Source organism: Homo sapiens, chromosome 16 (assembly GCF_000001405.40).
Source record: "Homo sapiens chromosome 16, GRCh38.p14 Primary Assembly".
Classification (NCBI taxonomy): domain Eukaryota; kingdom Metazoa; phylum Chordata; class Mammalia; order Primates; family Hominidae; genus Homo; species Homo sapiens.
Genome location: NC_000016.10, coordinates 70,533,388 through 70,560,199, shown reverse-complemented (window position 1 = coordinate 70,560,199; position 26,812 = coordinate 70,533,388). Strand labels below are relative to the sequence as shown.

Here is a 26,812-nt window from a genome sequence, read left to right as displayed (position 1 = left end):
AAATCCTTCTTCACTACTGTATATTTCAAATAAATAATTAAATAACCACAAAGACCATGGTCCCTAAACAGCATTTCCTCTTAAAGGAACAAGGTTCCTAAAAGGAATGACTAGTTTGGGGCAGGGGCAAGAATGTTCCAGACACATGTGGGGATACTTTATTGTGCAACAAGGCAAGGAAACCCCTACAAATAGTGGGGTCATGTTAAAAGGACAAAAGAACTAACTTCAAATAGAAATTCCCACTTTTCTAGAATGAGTCAATTTACCACCCCCCCGCACCCCTCAAAAAAAAAGAAGCCAGGTGAGGTGGCTCACATCTGTAATCACAGCACTGTGGAAGCCAAGGAAGGACGACTGCTTGAGGCCAAGAGCTAAAGACCAACCTGGCCAACATAGCGAGACTCTGTCTCTGTTTAAAAAAAAAAAAAGGAGTTTTCAGCACAAATGTATAAAAATCCACAAGTTTATGATGTTACTCTATTTTTTTAAATTTTTATTTATTTATTTATTGAGACAGGTTCTCACTCTGTCACCCAGGCTGGAGTACAGTGCCACAATCTTGGCTCACTGCAGCCTCCACCTCCCAGGCTCAAGCAATCCTCCCACTTCAGCTTCCCAAGTAGCTGGGACTACAGGCATGAGCCACCATTCCCAACTATTTTTTGTATTTTTGGTGGAAATGAGGTTTCGCCATGTTGCCCAGGCTAGTCTCGAACTCCTGAGCTCAAGCAATCCACCCACCTCAGCCTCGCAAAGCGCTGGGATTACAGGTGTGAGCCACAGCACCTGACCAATGTTACTCTAAAAAACAGCAAAAAACCCACTTTACTGGGCCCCACTGAAAGGAGTGCTGTGGCCCTCACTCCTTACTCTGAAAACAGGTGAACAATGGGAAAAAAATTATTTATCCTTTTCCTGTATGAACCGTACTTATAGTAAGCAAAGAAATGATGCGAATTTTGTCTTTAGAATTCCAACTAATTAAATCCAAAAAGAAATAAATCATTTTCCAACCACTAATGAAAGAATGAACCTAGGCAATGTGTGTAATAGCTGTAAGTAAAGGGTTGACGGGAACTTTAACACAGATACAGACAAACATCCCAACATCACTGTGAGTGGGACAACCAGACACTACACTCCTCCTGACGTGATGCAACAGGAGTAAACAGCACCACCTATTAAGTATTCCTGTCCCCCTCCCCCAATAATTAAATCTGAATCTAACCAACTTCTTCTTCTGCAATATCCGATACTATAGCTACCCCAAGCCACATGTGGCTAGTCAGAACTGAGACAGGACCAGGCATGGTGTCTCACACCTGTAATCCCAGCCCTTTGGGAGGCCAAGGCGGGTGGATCGCTTGAGCTCAGGAGTTCAAGACCAGCCTGAGCAACATGGCAAAACCCCATCTCTACTAGAAACAAGAAAAATTAGCCGGGCGTAGTGGTGCACACCATAAACCCAGCTACTCAGGAGGCTGAGGCATGAGAATCGCTTGAACCCAGGAGGCAGAGGCTGCAGTGAGCTGAGATCACACCACTGCACTCCAGCCTGGGCAACAGAGCAAGACTCTGTGTCAAGGAAGAAATTTTTTTTAAATAAAGACAAATAAAATTTTAAAGAGAACTAAGACTGCTAAGTGTAAAGTGCCAATACCAGATTTCAGACTTGGTTTAAAAAAGAGAGAAAAAAAGGTGAAATAGCTCAGCAATTTTTATATTAACTACATGTTAGAATGATTTCAGATATACAGAGTTAATAAAACATTAAAACTGGCCAGGCACGGTGGTTCATGCCTGCATTCCCACCAGCACTTTTGGAGGCCAATGTAGGAGGACCACTTGAGGCCAGGAGTTCAAGACCAGTCTGAGCAACACAGCGAGACCCTATCTCTATTTTTTTTTAAAGAAAAAAAAAAAACATTAAAATTACTTTTTTCCTGTTCGTGGCTACTAGAAAATTTAAATTACACCTGTAGTTCACCTTACATTTCTAATGGATGGCATGGTCTAATTCTACCCACCAGCTTGATACAGAGGATACAGGAACTTGAACACATAAGGAATGACTTTATTAAGTCCAGAAGGTGGGAAATTCTACAAGACAAATGATCTGATCTTGTAATACTTCAAAATGGGGTAGAACAGTTTAAGAGACATAAAAAGAAAGATGAAGGAAATGGAAAAAGCGTAGACTGCTATGCTGAGGTCCTGAGCACAACCAACTATAAAGCCACATTGGGGGAAAGAAGAACAGGGAAAACTGGAACATGGTAATAAGGAACTATTGTTATATTTTGCTGAGCATGATAATACTAGTATCTTACAAAAACAGACATCTGTTGGAACTACATTATCAAGTATTTATAGATGAAATGATAGATCTTGGATTTGCTTTAAAATAGTCCAGGGAAAAGATAAAATAAGAACAGCAGAATGTTGCTGATAGCTGTTAAAACTAAAAAAGAAAAAAATAGACCGAAAACCCATGTGGCAGCCCATAAAAATCCAACAAAAGAAAAAAAACTAAAAAAATAACAACAACCCTCTCCCAAAAAAACTGGGTACATGGAAGTTCACTGTATTAGTCTCTCTAACTTCTGGCTATGTTTGAGATTTCTAAATTAGGAAGTAAAATTAAAAAGCAAAAAGTACCTGGGCTAGATTACTTAGATGTCTGAGTCAATAATCATTAAGGAAAATGAAAAGCATATGATCAAGAATCCTGACACTATCTTAGCGTTAAAGCACACCTTTTCTTCACGGCACAAAGAGCTCAGCAACTTTGACAACAGGGAACATTTAGGGGTCCTTTATTGCTAATGAAGCCAATTATGAACTGAGAGGTATTCATTGCTGCTTTTGAAACTAGTGAATAGTGGGAACTACAGTTGATCCTTCAGGAACCCATCCAGTTCTGACTTAGAGTAGCTATCAAACAGCATTTATCAGATGTGAAGACTCTTTATCAAAATATTTCTTTCTCAGCCTGATTTGTTCGAATTAAAGAGCTGAGAAAAGTGGAACCCAGAGTGACACTGTTCACTTTTCATAAGGTGAGGATCTGAAACCATGGGCAGAGAAAATCCCTGTTATCAAACAAAGGAGTGTGTGAAACGTACAGAAGGCCTAATGTCCACAATGTGGGCCTCTGGATCTCTTACCTGTAGCCCAATATTCAGGTATAGGAAGCCAATCGAGCCCCTCTCACCCAGCTCATCCTGCTTCTCAGTCCCACCCATTTCCACGATACACAAGGACTCAGGCTGGGCTGGGAGAGCCTGCATGCTTAGAGGTTGCAAACAGTCCTGAGAGGGAGAGAAAAATCATAAAAACACAGAAAATGACAATTTTAGGAAAAAAACATACCCAGAGAAATCTAATTCTAGGATTGAAAAAGTACTTCCTTATGCACAGAAAAAACCCGGGGAGTGAGTTCTAAGAGAGTACTGAGTTATTAGTTACACCCAATTTCAGAATAAGCTTCGGGAAGATCATGCTTTCCTCCTTTTGTCAAAGAAGATAATGGCAAAGGTAATTAAGCAAAGCACACCTCCTGAAAAGTCACCTAGGGTCCTGCAGCAAGTCAAATTTATGCAGTCTTGGTTGTTAACTTAAAAAAAGGAGTTGAGGCTTAAGCCAAAGAAACATTTCTGTAGTCTCAGATCATATCCTTAAACCACAGCAGGAAACTCCTGAAACACACTGCAATGACAAGAGAAGCAGCAGGTATGGATTCTGGGTTCTAACCCAGCTGATCTCAGAGATAGACATCAGGAGTGGATCTCAGAGATAGACATCAGGAGCCAGATGCTCAGGTTCCAACCAGATGATCCTTGAAGCTCAGAGTGTCACTCACTGAGGGATCCAGGGAGATGATTCTGACAGTGTTGTCCACAAGCCCCACAGCCAGGAAGCGAGACCGCTGCTCTCCAGGGGGTACATTGGCCAGACTCATGCACACCACATCTGCTGACATCTCCTTCCGTTCTGTGTACTCATTCAGCTGTCCTGACTACAGGAGGAAAGACACAGCAAGGTCAAAACTACAGAGGGATGGGTCTAGATGCTCCAATTCACCCCAAAACCCTGGATCCAGAGAATGAAGGAGGGCTGTTGTATTTTGTTCTGCTTCCTCTCACTCCTCTTACTATAGTAAATGACAAGAATTTATCTACCTGAGTTCTCAAGACTGAAGTTAACAGGCTCACAGCAAGCAAAATGAGTATCTTCCATCAATAAGAGAATGAACAGACCTTTGACAAGGTCAATGTGCCACAAATTTTCTGAGCCAACTTTGTTCTCAGGAAATGGAGACATATAAAACTGTCTGTGTTTTACAAGAATATTCTGGGTGAAGGGAATTCAAATATGGTTAAAGACAGAGAAATCTCAACCAAAGGTACAGGCAGGCTACAAATTTGGCCACACTAGAGACCTCCTGAGAGCAAGAGAATTAAGTGTACTGAACATCCTTCCATATAGAAGTTTTCTGAAATGGATTCAGACTGCAGAAATTAAATCTATGCCAAATATTTGTTGGAAAAGTAGAGAGTGAAATGCAGGAGGAGCAAGTGTTTCACTGCTAAGAGGGGATTTCATAACTCTACCTAGAATTAGACATCAAATTACCCCTTTTCCCCATCTCTGTAAGGGACCAAACTGGTTTGTGAACACTGTCACTCCAGCTCGCTTTTTTTTTTTTTTTTTTTTTTTGAGACGGAGTCTTGCTCTGTCGCCAGGCTGGAGTGCAGTGGTGCAATCTCAGCTCACCGCAACCTCTGCCTCCCGGGTTCAAGCAATTCTCCTGCCTCAGCCTCCTGAGTAGCTAGGACTACAAGGTGCATGCCAACACGCCCAGCTAATTTTTGTATTTTTAGTAGAGACAGGATTTCACCATACTATCATCTAAATGACTAGACTACAATGCCCATCTTTCCCTCTGGTCCCTACAATAAGTCCCACAGTGAATGATAAAATAACATACAGGATCCATCTCGAAATAGACCAGCTCTCCTCCTGTCAGGGCAATCACCACTTGTCGCTGGTTCACTGCACACTTCACAATTGTTTTCTTTCCAGGGGTCTTCCACTCATTGACTCTCTTGTCTGCTCGTATGTGCCGAATGCCATCTGGATAGACCTAGAGTCAGTAACAGAAAGAAACCTGACTTTAACAATTTGATTCATCACTCAGAATGACCCTCACATCTATCAGATCTGTCACTAAAATCAGACCTGGGGCCACTGCATTTGAGGCACCAGTTGAATCAAAGACAAAAGAGTTAGTAGGCCTCAGGCAAGGTCAACTTTTAAATAGTTCATGTTTTGCAGTGTCCACTTCAAAGAAGTTCAAAGCTTATTAACAAAACACTTATAAAGATCTTTATTAGAGATGAAAGCTGCAGTGATGTGGCTCTGTAACAGAAAAATGGCAAATACAGAGAGGGATATTATGTGCCCAAATCATATGTTCCCTACCCCTAAGGCTTGCTGGAAGGTGAGGGTGAAGAGACATGAACACAGCAGCCTGCATCACAATGAAGGCCAAGAAAGAACAAAGCAGGCCAAGTAGGTAAGCTCTGAGAACCCTCACCTGCACCAAGGCATCATCTCCTAATAAGGAGCAGGACAAGGTCGGGGTGGTCCCCAGGAACCCAGAGTCAGTCACTTCTTCTACAGTTTCTCCAATGGACAACACTAGGGTGGCATTCACGAAAGACACAATGATGTAGGCATCAAACTCATCTGAAAAAGAAAAGAAGGGAGTTGGTTAGATAAGAACTCATTAGAATTACAAAGCCAAATGAAACACTAAGAGTTCTCTTCAGAAACCTTCCAAGGCAGTTCTTCTATGTGTAGTTATTACACACATACACACATACACATGCACACAGAGCAAAATGATCCAGAAGAAAACTAGGGGTCAGAAGAGCCTACAGATATACTCTGCTTCCTCAATATTTTCTTGAGACATCTGCTAAAGAAGTGAGAGGACAAAGCAAGAGAATCGGAGACATGAGGACATTTTAAATACTACAATATTGATACATGAACATACTGAGCTAGAGCTTCATTTATTTGTGCCAGTTGTCAATCACACAACCCCTTCCTAAGAAGAGATACTCCTTCTAACTAGGAAAGACCCCTAACTTCTTCCAAAAGCAGCTTATGTAGAAATGAACACAAGCTCTAATGAATAAAATAGAGATTACTTAAGCCTCTGTGAGACTAACTCATTCTAGGGTTGGAAGCTGAGAATCCTAGTCCCAATGGGAATGATGTAAGAAAACTAGATAACCAGGAAATGGAGGGTGGGGGTTGTTTATATTGTTATTCTGTGACCTCTCTGGTTTTTCACTATTTAGAAACAGAACAATCCTGTGGTCATGAGCAATCCTATTAGAATTTGCTTTTTCTAATTAAATGTAGTTGAATAAACACTAATGAGTTTCTCAAGGAAGTCAGAGGACTTGAGGTATACCAGAAACCCTCAGTTTCTTCTACAGATCCCATAAAGGCCATCTATTTTCCATGTATCTCACCCTACAACATACAACAGCTTCTGCAAGTGTCCCCATCCAGTACGTTTGGCGTAAAGCTTGATAAATGTTGACTAAAGGCATGCTAATTTTTTAAAAGAGTTGAGATTTTCCTAGTTTACATTTGAATTTTTGTTTTAACACCCCCTTAACCAGAAATCAGGTTAAAAAAAAAGGACAGAACAAGACAAGGCACCACACAATGTAGTGGCTGACTCACTCCTAGCAGTAGCAGCTATAGGACCCGTCTGCCTAAGCACTTGTCAAGAGCTCAATGCCACAGGGCTGGTCCACCCACCCACCCACATGAAGGGCATACTTTTGGTTCTGATGACTTCAAATGAGGTTCAGCTAGATTAAGGTTACTAGATCAGTTCTGCAGAATCAGCATTCTTTACAGAAGCAGGGGTCAAATGAAGATGTATCATTCGACCAGGCATGATGGCTCATGCCTGTAATCCCAGCACTTTGGGAGGCCAAGGTGGGTAGATCACCTGAGATCAGGAGTTAGAAACCAGCCTGACCAACAGGGTGAAACCCCATCTCTACTAAAAAATAAATAAAATAAAATACAAAAATTAGCTGGGTGTGGTGGTGGGCGCCTGTAATTCCAACTACTCGGGAGGCTGAGCAGAATTGCCTGAACCCGGGAGGCGGAGGCCGCAGTGAGCCGAGATCGCCCCACTGCACTCCAATCTGGGTGACAGAATGAGACTGTCTCAAAACAAACAAAAAAGATGTATCATTGGCATGGCCTACAGTAGTGTTCTGCCCTATTAGCAGGACGTAAAATCAATTTAATGTGTTGCACAATAGGCACTTCATAACAGAAATAAATGTAATTTATGAAGTTGCTTCATATATAGTAGGATAATTACTGTTTTGTGAAACTTTTGTTTCAGTTAATATTGCATATATATGTACCTACTGTGGTGGCTGAAAAACAAGGATTAAAGATCTTTCCCAATGGGCATGCTCTAATGGTTAGACCAGGAATCCACAGAGTAAAGGTTCAATTTCCAAATCATAAGGAATAATACAGGACAAGAAGCTAGATACTTGGTTTTTGGTTATTTTGCTAGAACTGTCAACATATATCAAATGCTTTGGGAACGTCTTATAAGATGGCTTTGTAAGACTAAGCACTACTCACTATCATAAAACAAGTAAGGACATGGTTATCTCTGAAATGGATGTCTCAGTAGCTTTCAACAAAACCAAAATCCATCTCTACATAACACCAAGTTTGGAACCTTTACTCCAGTTCTCAGTTTTTGTACTGGAAATTTTTGTTGTGTAAAAATAACAGTTGTTTAATTTTAATATTATATGAATACAGTATCATTTCCCATGTTCTCATTACTGAAACCTAATAACCCTAAAAGCTGTGTCAAAGCAAATTAAAGCCAAACAACAAAAGGCTGTAACTGGCCAGGATTTCTGGTCTCAGATCTTCACCAAGGGGAAAAGGTGACCTTCCAAAAGACAGACCACACAACTTTTGACTTTCATGGGAGAGAATGGGGCAAAGAAGGGAGGAGGGGTGCCTTTCCTTCGACCAAGACTTCAGACTACTCAAACATAAGAGAATAAATGCTCAGTGAACTTAAATAGGGTCATACTTTTGCTAGACAATTCAACAAGTGGGAGAGCCAACGACATCTCAAAGCTGCTTTACATCACAGACTTCCTCAAAATAAACACTGCCCTGTGAATACCAAGCACATTGTAACTTCTACCCCTTCCTTCTACAGTGAAGAGGACTTGCAGCAGGTTAATTCTTATGTACTAGAGTGACTGCAGATTAAAAGTTGGAGTCCAAGCTGGGCACGGTGGTTCAAGCACTTTGGGAGGCTGGGGAGGGAGGATCATTTGAGTTCAGGAGCTCAAGACCAGCCTGGGCAACATAACAAGACCCCAATTCTATAAAAAATTTATTAGTTTTTTTTTGGAGAGAGTTTCGCTCTGGTTGCCCAGGCTGGAGTACAATGGCGCAATCTCAGCTCACTGCAACCTCCGCCTCCCAGGTTCAAGCGATTCTCCTGCCTCAGCCTCTCTAGTAGCTAGGATTACAGGCATGTGCCACCACACCCAGCTAATTTTACATTTTTAGTAGAGACAGGGTTTCTCCATATTGGTCAGGCTGGTCTCAAATTCCCAACCTCAGGTGATCCATCCACCTCAGCCTCCCAAAGTGTTGGCGTGAGCCACCGCGCCCAGCCCAAAACACTATTTTAAAAAAAACGCTGGAGTTCAGAACAAAGCCAAGCTTTAGTCAAGGTAAATGACTAGGAACTGTACCATCCACACTGCATTCTAAGGAATTCAAGTCTCATGTTAAAAAACAATAGTTCATACCTCAATGAAGAATCCATAAGGGTATGAGACTGTATCTTTAGGTCACAGTTCAACAGGGCTCCCATCTGTCTGAACACTGCTAAGGACCCCAGAGGAGGGAATGCTTTTTTCTTCTACTTGCCTTGCCTTAGGATTTAAGGCTCAACCAGCAGCTCACTCCAAAAGGTAAAGTGAGCGACCATCCAGATACCTGAAGCTCAAGTAACTCCCTCTCACTTCATAGACAAGGGTATCTGATACTTATCTTGCTTCAGCAAGTCCTGAATATACTCAAAAGCTTTCTCTCGGTCCTGATCTTTCAGTCAGTACACCTGGAATGTACAACTCTATGAGAGTATGAAGCTAAAGTTCTCTAGCTAGAGACTCTTTTAGCTTAGTAAAAGGCAAATTAACCATATATGACAAATTCTGTGGGAGGAAGTAGAGAGGCAGACTCCTGCCTCAGACCATCTGATGCACAGGCAGATGGTGTGCAGCACTATTATGCCCAGTGACATCCAACTGCAAAGTTACCCTCTGAAAGACACCATCAGGGCAGCCTCAATATTTTGTGCAGGTCCCTCTCCTTGGATAAACTATAAGACCCCACATCGACCCTAGCAGTTAGGTACACACCTGTGGTGATCAGCACCTTCACCAGCCACCTGTGGAAGAGAAAAAAAGGCTTGGTATTGGTAGTGTGCATCACCAAGTACCAGCCAAGGTTAGTATTTGCCTGGAAGACTGCTGCATGTGCAGGCAGAAGGAATGTTCACTCAATAGTAACTTCGGGTATCTGGAAAGTGAGTGAACCAACAGAACCCGACCTGTATTTATAGGTGACTCCCAAATTACAGTACCTAAAGAGTAAAATTTAGCAGGATATAGTCCTTTCCAAGACTTCTAACATTTAATAAAGGAGAAAAATGTTCAACTACAAGTTCCATAATGCAACAAACGGCCTATCACTAAGTTAGCAAATGCTGTCCCTCTAAAGAGCCTGCCCTGACCTTCAAACACATGCCCTCTCCTTTAACCCCTCCCAGCAATGTACCTGTGCCTTTCACCACATCACAACACACAACACTTTTGTATACTTGTCTTCTTTTTTTAGATGGCAAGTGCTCTGAGGCAGAGTCTATCTTAATCACTGAGTACATGGTGGGCACTCAAAAACTAAACTTATCCTGAAAGAAACCACCAAGACCCACAGAATCTCACTGCAGTTAATCAAAATGGGCATTCAACTGAGATTCAGAAGCCAGGATATTCTGTCCCCATTACCTAGACTGTGTCTTGAGACACTCAACCCCTATAACTTCCTGTCTTCTTCATAAAAGTGAGAGTTAACTTTTCTGTAAACCTAAATCTCTTTTCTTTTTCTTTTTTTGACATGGAGTCTCGCTCTGTCACCCAGGCTGGAGGGCAGTGGTGCAATCTCGGCTCACTGCAACCTCCGCCTCCCAGGTTCAAGTGATTCTCCTGCCTCAGCCCCTTAAGTAGCTGGGATTACAGGCCTGCACCACCACGCCCAGCTAATTTTTGTATTTTTAGTAGAGATGGGGTTTCACCATGTTGGCCAGACTGGTCTCAAACTCTGACCTCAGATGATCCGCCCACCTCGGCCTCCCAATATGCTGGGATTACAGGCATGAGCCACCGCACCTGGCCCTAAATCTGTTTTAAAATAAAAAGTTTATTTAAAAAGTTAAAAGAAAAAAAGAAAGAACACAATAGGTTATCTTAAAACGTGTTTCTAATTCAAACAGTCTAGGCAATGCTTTCAAGGGCCATGAATATCAACAAGCCACCAAGCCAAAGTAAAACACCAACACGGACCAACTTCTATGTAGATACTACACATAAAACCAGGTGCCTAATAATTATCTCTTCAGCTTATAAGCCTACCCATTTCCTATTCACAATTTTCCCTTTCTACTCAACTTGGATATGATTCAAATGCCTACAATGAAAATTAAATCCACAAAAATGAGTATTCTACTAATAGTAAGTTGTTTTCCTCCTACATGTCTCCCAACTCCTTCAATCTGTTTCATACAGGCAGAATATCTAAATATCAGGCAGAATTACAGCTGTTTTCTTGAAAAACCTGTCTGCTAGCAAGGATGATGTTACTCACCCATCCCACATTCCTGAGAGAACAAGAGAAAAACGTAGCTCCAATGTGAATCAAGGGAAAATGAGACTGAGCTTTCTTTCTATGAGGCTGCAATTCAATTGTCACAAGACTTTCCTGCTATTGCAGTAACTACTAGGCATTCTCCTATTACTTTCAAAGTTTTAGGATCAGGTGACCATTTATATCCAGGAGCTCAAACTCCCTTCTCCTTCCCCATCCCCGCTTTTCTACTCACACTAAAATTCGAATTCCACTCAATTCCACTCTGCTTTCCTTAAGCACTAGCAAGATTGACTAACAAGCTTTCCCAAATCTCTTAATTCCTAGAACACCACCTTCAATTTCACTGTGGTTTCAAAACAATTTAAAAGAATATAGTTGAAGAAGAATGAAAAAGCACAACTTTCCCTCATATCATACCTCTTACAGATGAAACCAGTACCTTTATGAATATAAAGTCAATACCACATTTGACAGCTCTATGATTCTGAAACCTTTATGTACTAAAATATAACAGCCAACCTATGTTCCCCCTTTCCCACCTGCACAAAAAGAAATGGTAGGTGAAGGCATCCTGAACGGAAGAGCCTCAAAAACAGTGTTGGGCCAGAAAGTTTCTGGTATATGGTGCTAAATGAAATGATACAGAAGTATTATGAACGCAGCCTTTCAAGCCTTCTATGTCAATGGCACCTAGATCCTCATTTTGACTATTGGGAAAAAGCTGCTTACCTTCAATGTGTCGACGCACTGTCCAGACAGCGTTGGGGTTACCAGGTAGCTCAGAAACAGCCATTTCTGACACCTGACAGGAGAAGAGGGAAGCCACAGATCCAGTGAGCATGCAACTCAGCTACCTGCTTACAATCACATCAAAAAATAAGGTCTCAAAGGCAGGGTTCACAACGTATGCTGTATTTAAAGGATGAAACCACCTAGTGAAAGAAGAATCTAAGAACCAAACAGGCTGGTTCTTAGTGGCAATCCCCATGACAGTCTTAAGCAAAAGTTACAGGATGTCTGAGAGGGTACAGTTGCTGCAGGCAAAACCATACCCCTTTCCTTCAAGTACAATATGCCTTGATCATCCTCAGAACAGCAGTAACCACTGGGAATCAATCAGGCCATCTAAATTAGCATCCCCTTTCTTTCCCCAGCTCCCATAAGGCCAAATCCCATGTGGACCAATTCAAATGCCACCTCCTTTAACAAAATTATTCCCTTATCCCCTTGGCTGGCAGTCACCTCTCCCTTCTATAAGCACTCATAGAAATCAGTCACCACCGGCTGGGCCCAGTGGCTCACACCTGAAATCCCAGCACTTTGGGATGCCGAGGCGGGTGGATTGCCTTAGGTCAGGAGTTCAAGACCAGCTGGCCAACACGGTGAAACCCGTCTCTGCAAAAATATAAAAATTAGCCAGGCATGATGGCGGGTGCCGTAATCCCAGCTACTCGGGAGGCTGAGGCGGGAGAATCGCTTGAACCCGGGAGGCGGAGGTTGCGGTGAGCTGAGATTGCATCATTGCACTCCAGCCTGGGTGACTGAGCGAGACTCCGTCTCCAAAAAAAAGAAAGAAATCAGTCACCACCTCTTAGGGTACTAACTGTTTTGTCTTTCTGATTAGATTTTTATGCTCCTTAAAGTCAAGAGTGAATGATTCTCTACATGTCCTATAGGTTCTCAAACATAAGAGTAAACAAAACATCTAAGCCAAATTCAAAATGATCTAGAGGGGAAAACTGGGTGTAGGTTATACAGGAACTCTCTGTACTGTCTTTGCAATTTTTTTATAAATTTAAAATCATTATAAAATTAAAATTATTGAATGTTTTTAAATGATCTAGAGACAATAAACTAGCCACTTATATATAACGTGTAACCCACATCTTATAGGAAGAATTCATGTATATTCACAGAAAGACTAGCCCTTTTCCTAGTTTACTGGTATAATTAGAAGGAAGACCTAAGAACTTCATCATCAATAAAATTCAACTGTCAACTATGCTATAGTCTATACCAAATGTAAAACTGTCAGTCACCCTGGCTCAATTGAGACCACAATCTAGTTAGACAACAAGGTGTAACAAATAGACATAAAGGAATAAAGCAACGTTCAACAATTTAAAAAAAAATTTTTTTTTTTTGAGACGGAGTCTCGCTCTGTCGCCCAGGCTCGAGTGCAATGGCGCGATCTTGGCTCACTGCAAGCTCCACCTCCCGGGTTCACGCCATTCTCCTGCCTCAGCCTCCTGAGTAGCTGGGACTACAGGCGCCCGCCACCACGCCTGGCTAATCTTTTTGTATTTTTAGTAGAGACGGGGTTTCACCGTGTTAGCCAAGATGGTCTCGATCTCCTGACCTCGTGATCTGCCCACCTCAGAAAATATTTTTATATATAACAAAGGTTTGTCTATAGATTTGAAGTGGGGAGAGAAGTAGCAGGAAACTAAAAAATGATTCTTGAGTCATTTATCTCTTACACTATACAAAAATTTTCTGTTAATGCACATATGCATTTTTTTAGAGACAGTATCACTCTTTTGCCCAAGCTGGAGTACAGTGGCGTGATCTCGGCTCACTGCAACCTCTACCTCCCAGTTCAAGCTATTCTCCTGCCTTAGTCTCCTGAGTAGCTGGGATTACAGACACCCACCACCACTCTCGGCTCATTTTTGTAGTTTTAGTAGAGAAGGGGTTTCACCATGTTGGCCAGGCTGGTCTCGAACTCCTGACCTTGGGTGATCCAGCTGCTTCAGCCTCCTAAAGTGCTGGAATTACAGGCGTGCGCCACCGTGCCCAGCCGCACATATGCATTTTTTGTGTAAAGCACTAGCTTTCATCATATGCTCACTAGGATCCAATGAGAAATAAGTAACTAACGAATCAAGAGCAATGGCTCTTGGCCAGGCGCGGTGGCTCACGCTTGTAATCACAACACTTTGGGAGGGTGAAGTGGGAGGCTCACTTGAGCCCAGGAGTTCAAGACCAGCCCTGGCAAAATAGCAAGACCCTGTCTCTACCAAAAATAAATAAATAAATTAGCCAAGCGTGATGGCGCACACCTGTAGTCCCAGCTACTCCAGAAGCTAAGGTGGGAGAATTGCTTGCTTGAGACTGGGCGTTGGAGGCTACAGTGAAGCAAAGTCTCACCACTGCACTCAAAAAAACAAAAACAAAAACAACAACAACAAAAAACCAAAAACCAGACCTATGGCTCTAAATTGGGTCTGAGTCATTGAAATTTTGGTGAACTGATGAATATATTTTGGCAGAGACAAAACATTTTCAAATTCCCTGAAACACCAATGTTAACAGCTAACATTTATCGAACACTTCATGCCATACCTTAAGCTAAGTGCTTTGTTTGTTATCAACTCATTTAATTCACATAATTCTTTATGGCAGGTACCATTATTAAGTCCATTTAACAGAAGAAACAAAAACTTAGTAATAGCTATTAAGTGGTAGAGCCAGAATTCAAAACCCAGATTATCTTGGGCGTGTTCCAATAAAAATTTACAGAAACAGGTAGCAGGCCTCTTGAGAGCTCAGATTGCCATTCCCAAGCGCTCAAAACAAACTGTTATAGGAAGCTTTTTATTTTATTCCTAACAAGTTCAAGTTCAGGGCCCTCACTAGAAAGCATTAACATTAGGACTACGATACACAGAGAATATGGGATTCAAGAAGATAACTTTTAGTGTCCACATTACCTAAAAAGTCCAGCAATAAAAGATTCACTAAATAAATTATGATCTACCCACTTTGGTGAAACATTGCAGAAACACTAAAAATTATGCTACTTGGCCAGGTGCGGTGGCTCACGGCTGTGATCCCAGCACTTTGGGAAGCCAAGGCAGGCAGATTGCTTGACCCCAGGAGGTCAAGACCAGCCAGGGAAACATGATAAGACTCTGTCTCTACAAAAAGTACAAAAATTAGCTGGGTGTTGTGGCACGTGCCTGCAGTCCCCAGTTATTCAGGAGGCTGAGGTGGGAGGATCACCTGATCCCAGGAAGGTCAAGGCTGCAGTGAGCCATGATGGAGCCACTGCACTCCAGCATGGGAGACAGAGTGGGACCCCATCTCAAAAATAAATGAATAAATAAATAAAAAGTATGCTATTTAGGAGTATATAGTAATAAGGAATAAATTTAATAAGATACAAAAATATATATAGCATTGATATAGTTGATTTAACTAAGACTAGATGTATACAGAGAGTGAAATGTTCCATATAGATTTCCTAGCCTCCATGTCATGACTAGTGACCATGTGGGCTATCATGCTAACAAGTTGAGGAATAGAAAAAAGCACAGGCTGGGCACAGTGGCTTACACCTGTAAGCAACACTTTGGGAGGCTGAGGCAGAATAATCACTTGAGCTCAAGAGGTCAAGGCTGCAGTGAGCCAAGATCATGTCATTGCACACCAGCCTGGGCAACACAGTGAGACCCTGTTTTGGAGACAAAAAGAAAGAAAATCTGAAGTATAAACTTCGGGGAAGTCAGGGAGAAAGAACATACTTTTTCACAGACACCTTAACTATGTCTTTGACAACATCAGAGTAAACCCATAAACTACTTTGTCAGTGCTTCCCTCCAAACCCTGCAGATTATCTAGAAATTGCAACCTTACCTCAAGTCCATGTCTTAGGACTCTCAGAGATGATCGGGGTCCCCTACCACAGGCCACATACAACTGTGGAGTATCTTCATTGGCCAGATCAGCTATCTGCACAGAGAAAAAGTTAGAGGAAAAAATGTCTCCAGTGCTGTTTTCAAACACAACTCTGATTCTCTAGTATCCCAGACATCCAGCTGCTTTCCAATACAATTATCTGCTGATCAATATGTGAAAAGAGGTGAATGATCTGTATTGTAGTTTTGACAAACTGGACAGTTCAAATGAAAATTCTTTACTCTCTCTGCAGAGCAATGGAGTCTACTGTAACACAGACGCACATGTGAGTACTGAGGGTATACAGCCATCACACCAGTCTCCTAAAAAAAATTAACACACCCATTTTAAGTGTATCATCTTATTATTTATAAAACCTCAGTAAAGCACATCTGTTTTCCACAACTTTAAAAAATATTTTGCTATTCTGATTCTATGCATATTTTCATATGCATTTAAAAATATCATTCATTAGCTGGGTATGGTGGCTTGTGTCTATAGTCCCAGCTACTGAGGAGGCGGAGGTGGGAAAATCGCTTCAGCCCAGGAGGCTGAGGCTACAGTGAGTCGTAACTGTGCCACTGCACTCTAGCCTGGGTAACAGAGTGAGACTCTTGTCTCAAAAAAAAATTAAAAAAAAAAACACAAAAAAACAGTAAAACATTATTCAGATCGGATCCAGATGCTTTGGCTAGCAAAAAGATCCATGGCAGAAAGAAATGTTAAGAAGCCCTGCTATACACACTTTAACTTCCCATTCATTTTATTTATTTTATTTTTTTTTAAGACAGAGTCTCACTCTGTCACCGAGGTTAGAGTACAGTGGCACTGTGTAAGCTCACTGCAACCTCCATCTCCTGGGTTCAAGCGATTCTCCTGCCTCGACCTCCCAAGTAGCTGGGATTACAAGCACCCACCACCATGCCCTGCTAGTTTTTTTATTTTTAGTAGAGACGGGGTTTCACCGTGTTGGCCAGGACAGTCTCAAATTCCTGACCTCAGGTCATCTACCCGCCTCGGCCTCCCAAAGTGCTGGGATTACAGGTGTAAGCCATCGTGACCGGCCTTTTTTTTTTCTTTTTTGAGACGGGGTTTCGCTCGTTACCCAGGCTGGAGTACAATGGTGTGATCTCAGCTCACCGCAACCTCTGCCTCCCAAGTTCAAGCGATTCTCTTGCCTCGGCCTCCTAAGTAGCTGCGATTACAGGCATGCGCCACCATGCCTGGCTAATTTTGTATTTCTTTTAGTAGAGACAGGGTTTCTCCATGTTGGTCAGGCTGGTCTCAAACTCCCAACCTCAGGTGATCTGCCCACCTCGGCCTCCCAAAGTGCTGGGATTACAAGCATGAGCCACCATGCCTGGCTAATTTTATTCTTGATGAATAAACTATTTACACACATTATTTATTCAAATTCCAATGAAGGTGAAAAAAATCACTAAAAATCAAATTAGAAATTAGTCACACTTGGCCGGGCGTGGTGGCTCACACCTATAATCCCAGCACTTTGGGAGACCAAGGCAGGCGGATCACGAGGTCAGAATATCGAGACCATCCTGGCTAGTTAACAGTGAAACCCTGTCTCTACTAAAAATACAAAAAATTAGCTGGGCATGGTGGCGGGCGCTTGTAGTCCCAGCTACTAGGGAGGCTAAGGCAGGAGAATGGCGTGAACCTGGGAGGCGGAACTTGCAGTGAGCCGAGATCACGCCACTGCACTCCAGCCTGGGCAACAGAGCGAGACTCCATCTCAAAAAAAAAAGAAAAAAAAAAGAAAAAAAAAGAAATTAGTCACATTTATTTTCTGTTGCCCTCAAGACTAATCGTTTCTCAGAAAGGAAGAACAAAGCAATTAATTTCAGATGGGTTTAATTAAACCTGTCTGAATGCTGACTTGTTTCCCCAGTACCCAGTGAACAAACTCCTCTCCCATCAGAAGTGTGATCAACTACACAGGTGGTCCCTAATGGTCACTCAAACCCTGACAATTGAGGATGCAGCAACATGATCAAATTCCTGGCTGTCACAACTGAGCACCAGCAATGAGAGACACAAACTCCATTCTGAGCCACTTCAGGTTCCTCCTTGAGAATGTGATTCAAAACTACCTGTTACCAACTGATCCCAATGTCTCAGAACTATTTTAAAGAGGAACTGTGGTAAAATTAAATAAATACAGCTATATGTAGACTGTTACATGACAAGAGGTCAACCACAGAATACTGTGGAGTATATGAATCCACTTATTTTAAAAAGAAAAAGATATAACACATAAACATATACATGATTGTAAATGCAGAGAAAACACCTAGAAGCAGTCACAAGAAGTTGTTAATACAAGCAATATGGCTCAATGGAGCGGACAGGTGAGAAGATTACGGGGAGGACTTTTACTTCTCACTTCTTGTATGGTCTGATTTTTTCCTCCCCTGCAAGCTGTACAGGAATATGATCTGCATTTTTACATTAAACGTGAGTTTTGTCATTATGGGAAAAAAAGCCCGAGGACTTATTAATGGTTTTTTGTGCTCAAACTTCTACCTCTAACTGCTTTACACACTGGCGAGTTCATGGAAATACTAATAAAGCTATTTCTTAGACTAGACCTCAGTTTAACTTTAGATCTATTGTGGAAGGGGCTGGAAAGGCCCACCAACCTGGCAAAACAGAATGGGAGAGAGGCTGTCCAACTCATCAACCAGCACAAGGTTTTTAAGTGGTCTTGGCTGAAAAAAGAATGTGTCTCCTTCTTCCAGAGGCATGGCTGATGAAAACTCAGGTTCTTCATCATCATCTCCAAGATGTGCAATTTGATATAAGTAACTGGGAAGAAGCAGAGGAGAGAAACTTTCGGTAACGAGTTCTCTGCCTGACGATAATGTCTGGCATCAACATAAAGCACAAGCTATTTGATTATATTAAGATACTATTGTTATTATTTTTAGGTGTTATCACTAAGTACGACAGCTAGGATTTGTTTCAAAACAATTCAGGGAAAAGATCTGGGAAGTGCAGTGAGTATTTTATTTATAGCACAAGCAACAAAGAAAATACAGATAAACTGGACTTTATCAAAATTTAAAACTTTTGTGCATCAAAGGAAGAAAGATGACAACCCACAAAATGAGAGAAAATATTTGCAAATCGTATTTCTGACAAGGGTCTAGTACCCAGAACACATAGAGAACTCAAAAATAAAAAGACAACTCTTAAAAAATGGGCAATGGGATTTGAATAGACATTTCTCCAAAGATACACAAATGGCCAATAAACACAAAAAGATGCTCAACATCACTCATCACCGGGGAAAGGCAAACCACAATGAGCTACCACTTCATACCACCACTGCATACTTAGCAGGATGGCTATAATCACAAACGTGGAAAACAAGTTGGCAAGGATGTGGAGAAACTGGAACCCTCATATACTGCTGTTGGGAATGTAAAATGGTGTGGCTGCTATGAGAAAGTTTGGTGGTTTCTCAAAAAGTTAAACACAGAATTACCATGACCCAGTAATTCCACTCCTACATATATACCCAAAAAAATTAAAAATGGGGAATCAAATAGGTATTAGCACAGCAACATCTACCACAGCATTGTTCCCAATAGTGAAAGGTAGAAACAATCCAAGTGTACATCAGCAGAATGGGTAAACAAAATGCAGTATGTACATACAATGAGTTATTCCGCCACAAAAAGGAACGAAGCTCTGATACAGGCTACCAAAACATGAATCTTTTTCTTTCTTTTTTTTTTTAAACATGAATTTTCTAAATATTATGCCAAGTAAAATGAGCTAGACACAAAGGGACAAATATCAGCCAGGCGCTATGGCTCAAGCCTGTAATCTCAGCACATTGGGAGACTGAGGCAGGTGGATTGCTTGGATTGCTTAAGTCCAGAAGTTTGAGACTTTACAAGAAATACATATATTAGCCAGGCATGCACCTTGCTAATAGTCCCAGCTACTTGGGAGGCTGAGATGGAAGGATCACCTTGAGCCTGGGAGGTCGAGGATGCAGTGAGCCGAGATTGCACCCCTGCACTCCAGCATCCTGGGAAACAGAGTAAGACTCTGTCTTAAACAAACAAACAACCAAAAAAAACCCCAAAAAGCTAAGAAGGCTCGGCTGGGCACGGTGGCACACGCCTGTAGTCCCAACACTTCGGGAAGGCCAAGGTGGATGGATCACTTGAGGTCAGGAGTTTGAGACCAGCTTGGCCAGCTGGTTTGAGACCAGCTCATTTTGTACTTTTAGTAGAGACAGGGTTTCTCCATGTTGGTCAGGCTGGTCTCGAACTCCCGACCTCAGGTGATCCGCCCGCCTCAACCTCCCAAAGTGCTTGGATTACAGGCGTGAGCCACCGCGCCTGGCCATTTCATCAAATAAATACTTATTGAAATATTTAAGTACTGCTGGGCGCAGTGGCTCACGCCTGTAATCCAACCACTTTGGGAGGTCGAGGCAGGCGATCACCTGAGGTCGGAAGTTCGAGACCAGCCTGACTAACATGGAGAAACCCTGTCTCTACTAAAAGTACAAAATGAGCTGGGCATAGTGACGCATGCCTGCAATCCCAGCAACTCAGGAGTCTGAGGCAGGAGAATTGCTTGAACCTGGGAGGCAGAGGTTGCGGTGAGCCGAGATCACACCATTGCACTCCAGTCTGGGCAACAAGGGCAAAACTCCACTTCAAAAAAAAAAAAAAATTTATTTGATGAAATATTCAGCAAAAAGCTCAGAAGAGACATCAAATCTAAAGATAGTTCTGGAGATACCTACAGAGGTACTGCCCGAAGCCACTAAAATAAAGGAAGGTAAGAAAAAGAAAGACTCTACAAGGATAGAACAAACTTCTTTTGAAAGAACTAACACATTCTTGTGAAAAGCTCCCTAAGCCTCAAAGCCGCACCTTCCTACTGCCAACTATTTTTTTTTTGAGAGAGAGTTTCGCTCTTGTTACCCAGGCTGGAGTGCAGTGGCGTGATCTCAGCTCACTGCAATCTCCACCTTCCAGATTCAAGTGATTCTCCTGCCTCAGCCTCCCCGGTAGCTGGGATTACAGGTGCCCGCCACCATGTCCAGCTAATTTTTGTATTTTAGGTAGAGATGGGGTTTCACCATGTTGGCCAGGCTGGTCTCCAACTCCTTACCTCAGGTGATTCACCCACCTCAGCCTCCCAAAGTGCTAGGATTATGGCCGTGAGCCACTGCACCCAGCTTCTGCTGCCAACTTTTATCCCAACCAGGGTGAACTAGGGTAACAGAAGGATTACTCACTGGTTTCCAAATTCTGATGCTACAAAAAGGAACCCTGTTTTAAGCACACACATGGCAGCAGCAACGGGTACAGTATCAAAATATTTGAGCCGGATCTCAGTAACCTGGTGAGAAAAGAAACATTCTGGTGTACAAACAAAGTGAAGTGAGCCCCGTATTATAAGACAGCACAGGCTGAGTAGCAAATAAAATACTGTATTTCATATCTGACCAGGGGTCAACAAACTCCGGCTCATGGGCCAGTCATGCCAATCATTACTGGCTGTGGCTGTCTTGTACTATAATGGCAGAGTTGAGTAATTGAGACGGAGACTACGTAGCTCACAAAAGCTGCAAGTATTTACTATGTGGCCTTTACAAAAAAATGTTTGCCAATTCCTGATCCAAACAGCTATCTAAGAAATTGCCCAACAACTCACAGAGCTCGTCCATAGGATAAAACAAGTAACAGATCATGTTTATTACCAGTTTTCAGCAGAAACAGAGACCTTTATCTTCTTCACACCAAAAATAATCACTATCTTCTTCACCTAAAAATAATCACTACAAGTGGCATTGCCGCTCTTATATTGTATGTAAGATTACTAGACCAAAAATCTGATAACCAGAGAGAAAATCTATACTCATATACCGGTTCCAAGGGCAACTACTTTCTAAGTTCTCATTTTTTTAACTTGTAAAGTATTACCTGTCTTGCCTATCTCATCTCATAGAGTAGCTATACTGGTCCATCCATGGTCTACTTACCATATCTTCATCTGTCTCCAAAGTGATCTTAAAGATATCTCCCTGCTCAGTTTGAGCCAAAAAGAAGAACATCGATTTGGTTTTATGGGTTGCAGAGCAGACAAAAATCATTCCTCTTTCAGGGTCATCCAGGTCATTCTAGCAAAGTCAAAAACACAATCAATGTCTTAGAAATGGGTACTTCTTAGTTCTGGAATTCAGCACTTTACCAATAGGGATTACAAATGACATTAAAGGCCTAAAGGCACAAGCTTTGATCCACAGTGTCCTGCCAGCCAGAGCACTGGAACCCCACAGCTCAAAATTCTAATATAAATATCTAATAAAATCTGGGTAACCAAAAGAGTCCCAATTCCACTCTACAGCCTGATCAGATTCATAAGGCAAAAACTGTGTCCAGAGAAAAATGTCAGAGAAGAGACATGAAATTTTTTAAAGAGTCATCATTTCAGGCTGTGAAACACTGCTCCATCCAAATTACCCTGTTCTACATCAAATGCCTGATTCCTAAAAGGCACCTCCTTAGGTATGACTTTGAATTTTTTTTCTTTTAAAGACAAGGTCTCACTATGTTGCCCAGACTGGTCTCTAACTCCTGGGCTCAAGGGATCCTCCCGCCTCAGCCTCTCAAGTAGCTGGGGATCAGAGGCACATCACTGCACCTGCCTTGCGTTTTTTAACGTTTCCAACAGTTTCTATTTCTCCCACCGAGTAAGCTCTGCTCTGCAAGAAGTTTTAGACTTTGTTATTGCAAAGCCAAATACAGTGCCTGGCACAGTTAGGTGCTCAATGTCTAATCAACTTAGTGACTTCCTATCCCTTAACAAGAAGAATTTAACTTGCCAAATTTCTTCTAAGGTTTTCTAAAATTGCTGGAATCTTACGTACTACATATTACATTAAATTAAATCCTAAAGTTCAACCCCAGAACAGATAAATATTTAACAGCAAATAAATAATCCAGGGGATTGAGGGGAGAGATGGCAGTAAATGATTCAAAGAATCCACACCAAAACCACCAGGTGAAAAGACGCCGGGGAAGAGGGATATTCACTAGTCTCAGGAAGAGGGATATTCATTAGTCTCAAAGATCACCATCAAATTCCATTATCAGTTACCAAAAAAGAAACAATACCGTTACAATGAAGACAATGGGCAGGCACCACCTTAACAAAGTGACCAATTTAATGTCTCAATCAGATAAACCAACATTATGTACACACAATGTGTGACATAGTGGAGAATATGTATCACTTATACATCACTCCCTATGTAGTAATTATATCAGAAATATTAAACTCAATATAATCATGAGGAAACAAACTATGGGACAGACTATAAGAGAATTAGCTGGCCAGGCGCAGTGGCTCACGCCTGTAATCCCAACACTTTGGGAGGCTGAGGCAGGCAGATCACAAGGTCACGAGTTCGATACCAGCCTGGCCAATATGGTGAGACCCCATCTCTACTAAAAATATAAAAATTAGCTGGGCATGGTAACAGGTGCCTGTAGTCCCAGCTACTTGGGAGGCTGAGATGGAAGGATCACTTGAGACTGGGAGGTCAAGGATGCAGTGAGCCAAGATTGCGCCACTGCACTCCAGCCTGGGCAACAGAGCAAGACACCATCTTAAAAAAAAAAAAAAAAAAAAAGAAAGAAAATTAGCCCAGACTGGCAGGGCACTTCATGCCTGTAACCCCAGCACCTTGGGAGGCCAAGGCAGGCAGATGACTTGAGGTCAGGAGTTTGGGACGAGAATGGCCAACATGGCAAACCCCGTCTCTATTAAAAATACAAAAAAGGCCGGGTGCGGTGGCTCACGCCTGTAATCCCAGCACTTTGGGAGGCCGAGGCGGGCAGATCACGAGGTCAGGAAATTGAGATCACGGTGAAACCCAATCTTTACTAAAAATACAAAAAAAAAAAAATTAGCCGGGCGTGGTGGTGGGCGCCTGTAGTCCCAGCTACCCGAGAGGCTGAGGCAGGAGAAATGGCGTGAACCCGGGAGGCGGAGCTTGCAGTGAGCCCAGATCGCACCACTACACTCTAGCCTGGGTGACAGAGCGAGACTCCGTCTCAAATAAATAAATAAATAAAATACAAAAAATAAAAATACAAAAAAAATTTAGCCAGGTGTGGCAGTGCATGCCTGTAATCCTGGCTACATGGGAGGCTGAGGTGGGAAAATCACTTGAACCCGGGGGGCAGAGGTTTCAGTGAGCCAAGATCACAACACTGCACTCCAGCATGGGCAACAGAGCAAGACTCCATCTCAAAAAAAAAAGAAAAAAAGGTGAGAGGGAAATATCCTGAACTAAGGGAGACTAAAGGCCAATTAATTACAAAGGAACTTTTTGGGATAATGAGAGAAATATGAATATAAACTATACATAAGGTAACTATACTACACAAAATGTTACAATTTCTTGGGTATGATATTGGCAATCTGGTAATGTAGGAAAATGTCCTTGTTCTCGGGAGCCATTATCTTAGAAGATTACTGGAGTGAGGCATCATAATGCCTGTAACTTCTTTTCAAATTGCTTAGCCTAGAAAGTATATGGATATATCATGAGAAAGAAAAAACAAATGTAGCAAAATATTAATAACGGATTAATCTAAAAGGCATGTGGGAATTCATTGTTCATTGTTTTTAAACTTTCTGTATGTTGGAATTTTCAAAATAAAAATGTTGGAAAAAAAAAAAAACCAAATAGAATAAAAGGCAACCTATCTCTAACAAATATGCCTGGTTTCTCCAAACTAGAAACATTCAGGAATTTCAAATTAATAATTGTCCACAGGTTCCTCTGAAATAGAAATTAGATTAGTTTTAATTCCCTTTCTAAGAGAATTTGTTTGGCTTTTACTAAAATATTTCACCAGCTTTATTAAAAACAACATTTACGTCCCTGCCCCAGGGTCACTGAATTTTTTTTTTAATTTACAAAAAAACTAAATTGGTAACAAACTAAGAGACTACACTGTAATCACAAAAATTAAACACAAATCTCTCTCTTCTTATATCAAAGATCTTACCCGCCTCCTGGGAATTGGACAGCGGATATCTGGCTGGTCACCAAAGTTCTTGTAAGTAATATAGTTTTCAGAGCAGATCAGTACTCCACTTGGACCATCTGACCCTCCTGGAACTGTGAGAGAAAATAAAACTTAGCAGTGACTTTGACTCAGACATGAATTTCTTCAGCTTTCAACTCCTCCTCTCTTTCAGCACAACTTGATGATGGTAATGTGCCTGATGCTAAGAAACATTTCATGTGTTTCTCCTCCCTTATGTTCATGGTAGATAAGGATGAAGCACAGTTTGTGTTTACATGGAAGGTTTGGTCTCAGCCTGGATAACGTATCCAAATGTTTACCTCCAAGCCCAAATGCAGTTCTCATCTTCAGACCCCATCTTCAGACCTATAATACATCAAATCACCTACTGGACATGGACCTTCCACCGGTATTTTTAAAATACAGTGTGTTCAGGCTGGGCATGGTGGCTCATGCCTGTAATCCCAGCACTTTGGGAGACCAAAGGCAGATCACCTGAGGTCAGGAGTTCGAGACCAGCCTGGCCAACACGGTGAAATCCCGTCTCTACTAAAACTACAAAAATTAGCCAGGCATGGTGGTGGGCGCCTGTAATCCCAGCTACTCGGGAGGCTGAGGCAGGAGAACTGCTTAAACCCAGGAGGTGGAGGTTGTAGTGAGCCAAGATCGTGCCACTGTGCTCTAGCCTGGGCAACAGTGCGAGATTCTGTCTCAAGAACGTAAATAAATAAAATAAAAATAAAATAAAGTAACAGCATGTTCATAAACAAACTCAAGTTCCTTCCCAACCCTGCTCCACCTCCTAGATTCTCCACCTTAGAGAATACTACCATCAACAGACCAAACCAGACACCTGAGTATAATCCTTCAATTCTCTCTCCTCCCAAAGCCCTATTGATTCTACCTCCTTAGCAGCTACCAGTATCTCTTAATGTCCTCATCAGTCTCCCCTCTTACAGTCTTAATATCCTCCATTTCATTAGCCAAAATGTAAGCAATTAATCTTTCTAAGGTTGTCAACCTATCAGATTATTTCCCTACTTAGAATCCTTCAGTAGCTTTCACCCCACCCCTACTCCTACCCCAGTCCCTTAATAATTAAATCATAATGAGCTTTTAATTATTTGAATGGACCATGTTATTTCTTGTATTTAGGCTTTTGTAAATGCTGTTCCCTTTGCCTACAACTGAAACTTCCTCTCCCACTCCAACTGCACCTAGCTAACTTCTAACTAGCCCTCAGATCTCAGCTTAGAGACTCCAGCAAGCTTTCTGTAACACATTCGTTTCCTTTCCCTGTTTAGGGAACCTCTTCTCTGTGCTGTCATGGCATTTGGCACAGTTTCTGGTAATTGTTTTGGTTATTTATCTGTATTCACCACCAGACTCAATCTTGCACAAAGGCGGCACCACGTCTAATTTTTCACCACTGAAGTCCCAAGATCCAGCAGACTGACTTAGCACATACTGACTGCAAAGGCTCAATAAAAATGTGTTGAAAGAATGAAAAAGCCCTTGTAAATGAAAGGTATGGTAATATGTTACAAGTAATGAGATGTGTGATCAAAAATTCATCTGCTTAACGTATTAACAAAGGTAAGTGCTGTCCTTTATTTTTATTCTCCAGTATCTTCCCCAAACAACATCTTATTTTAGACATCAGTTGAAGTGCAAATGATTCAAAATAGAACTAGATCAGTTTTCCCCAAGCCTGCTGAAATGCAGATGACCACAAATGTAGCTGTACTCATTTAGTCTTTTAATATAATCAATTAGTAACGTGTATTTTCCAATGGTGAACTGATTTCCAACCATGAAAATATTTTCCATTTTTTAGCTCCTCCAAAAACGTTACTTAGCTATGTGCATTTAAAACACTGAATCTGATTTGCTGGAATGTTAGCTTTTCCTATCTACAACCGTATGAACTAGCCTGCAAATTTTTTTTGTTACTGTCCATCCCTAGTTTTGATACTGTAGTCATACTAGACTCAGAGAGCGGCACAGTAGCA

The 26,812-nt window shown here is 41.7% G+C and overlaps 1 protein-coding gene and 1 non-coding gene across 2 annotated transcripts in view; both read right to left on the bottom strand.

The window, feature by feature from the left end:
* Positions 1-26,812, bottom strand: part of SF3B3 (splicing factor 3b subunit 3) — a 53,853-nt gene that overhangs the window by 17,469 nt on the left and 9,572 nt on the right. The window contains exons 6-15 of the mRNA NM_012426.5: positions 24,780-24,892; positions 21,740-21,877; positions 20,993-21,096; positions 18,366-18,531; positions 15,667-15,762; positions 11,758-11,830; positions 5,603-5,754; positions 4,994-5,149; positions 3,866-4,021; positions 3,171-3,314 (exon numbers count right to left, since the gene is read on the bottom strand). Coding sequence (NP_036558.3) covers positions 3,171-3,314; positions 3,866-4,021; positions 4,994-5,149; positions 5,603-5,754; positions 11,758-11,830; positions 15,667-15,762; positions 18,366-18,531; positions 20,993-21,096; positions 21,740-21,877; positions 24,780-24,892 — 1,298 coding nt within the window. The remainder of the gene's footprint in view (positions 1-3,170; positions 3,315-3,865; positions 4,022-4,993; positions 5,150-5,602; positions 5,755-11,757; positions 11,831-15,666; positions 15,763-18,365; positions 18,532-20,992; positions 21,097-21,739; positions 21,878-24,779; positions 24,893-26,812) is intronic.
* Positions 22,102-22,195, bottom strand: SNORD111 (small nucleolar RNA, C/D box 111). Its single transcript, NR_003079.1, has one exon. It is a non-coding gene; the product is annotated as a small nucleolar RNA, C/D box 111 (small nucleolar RNA).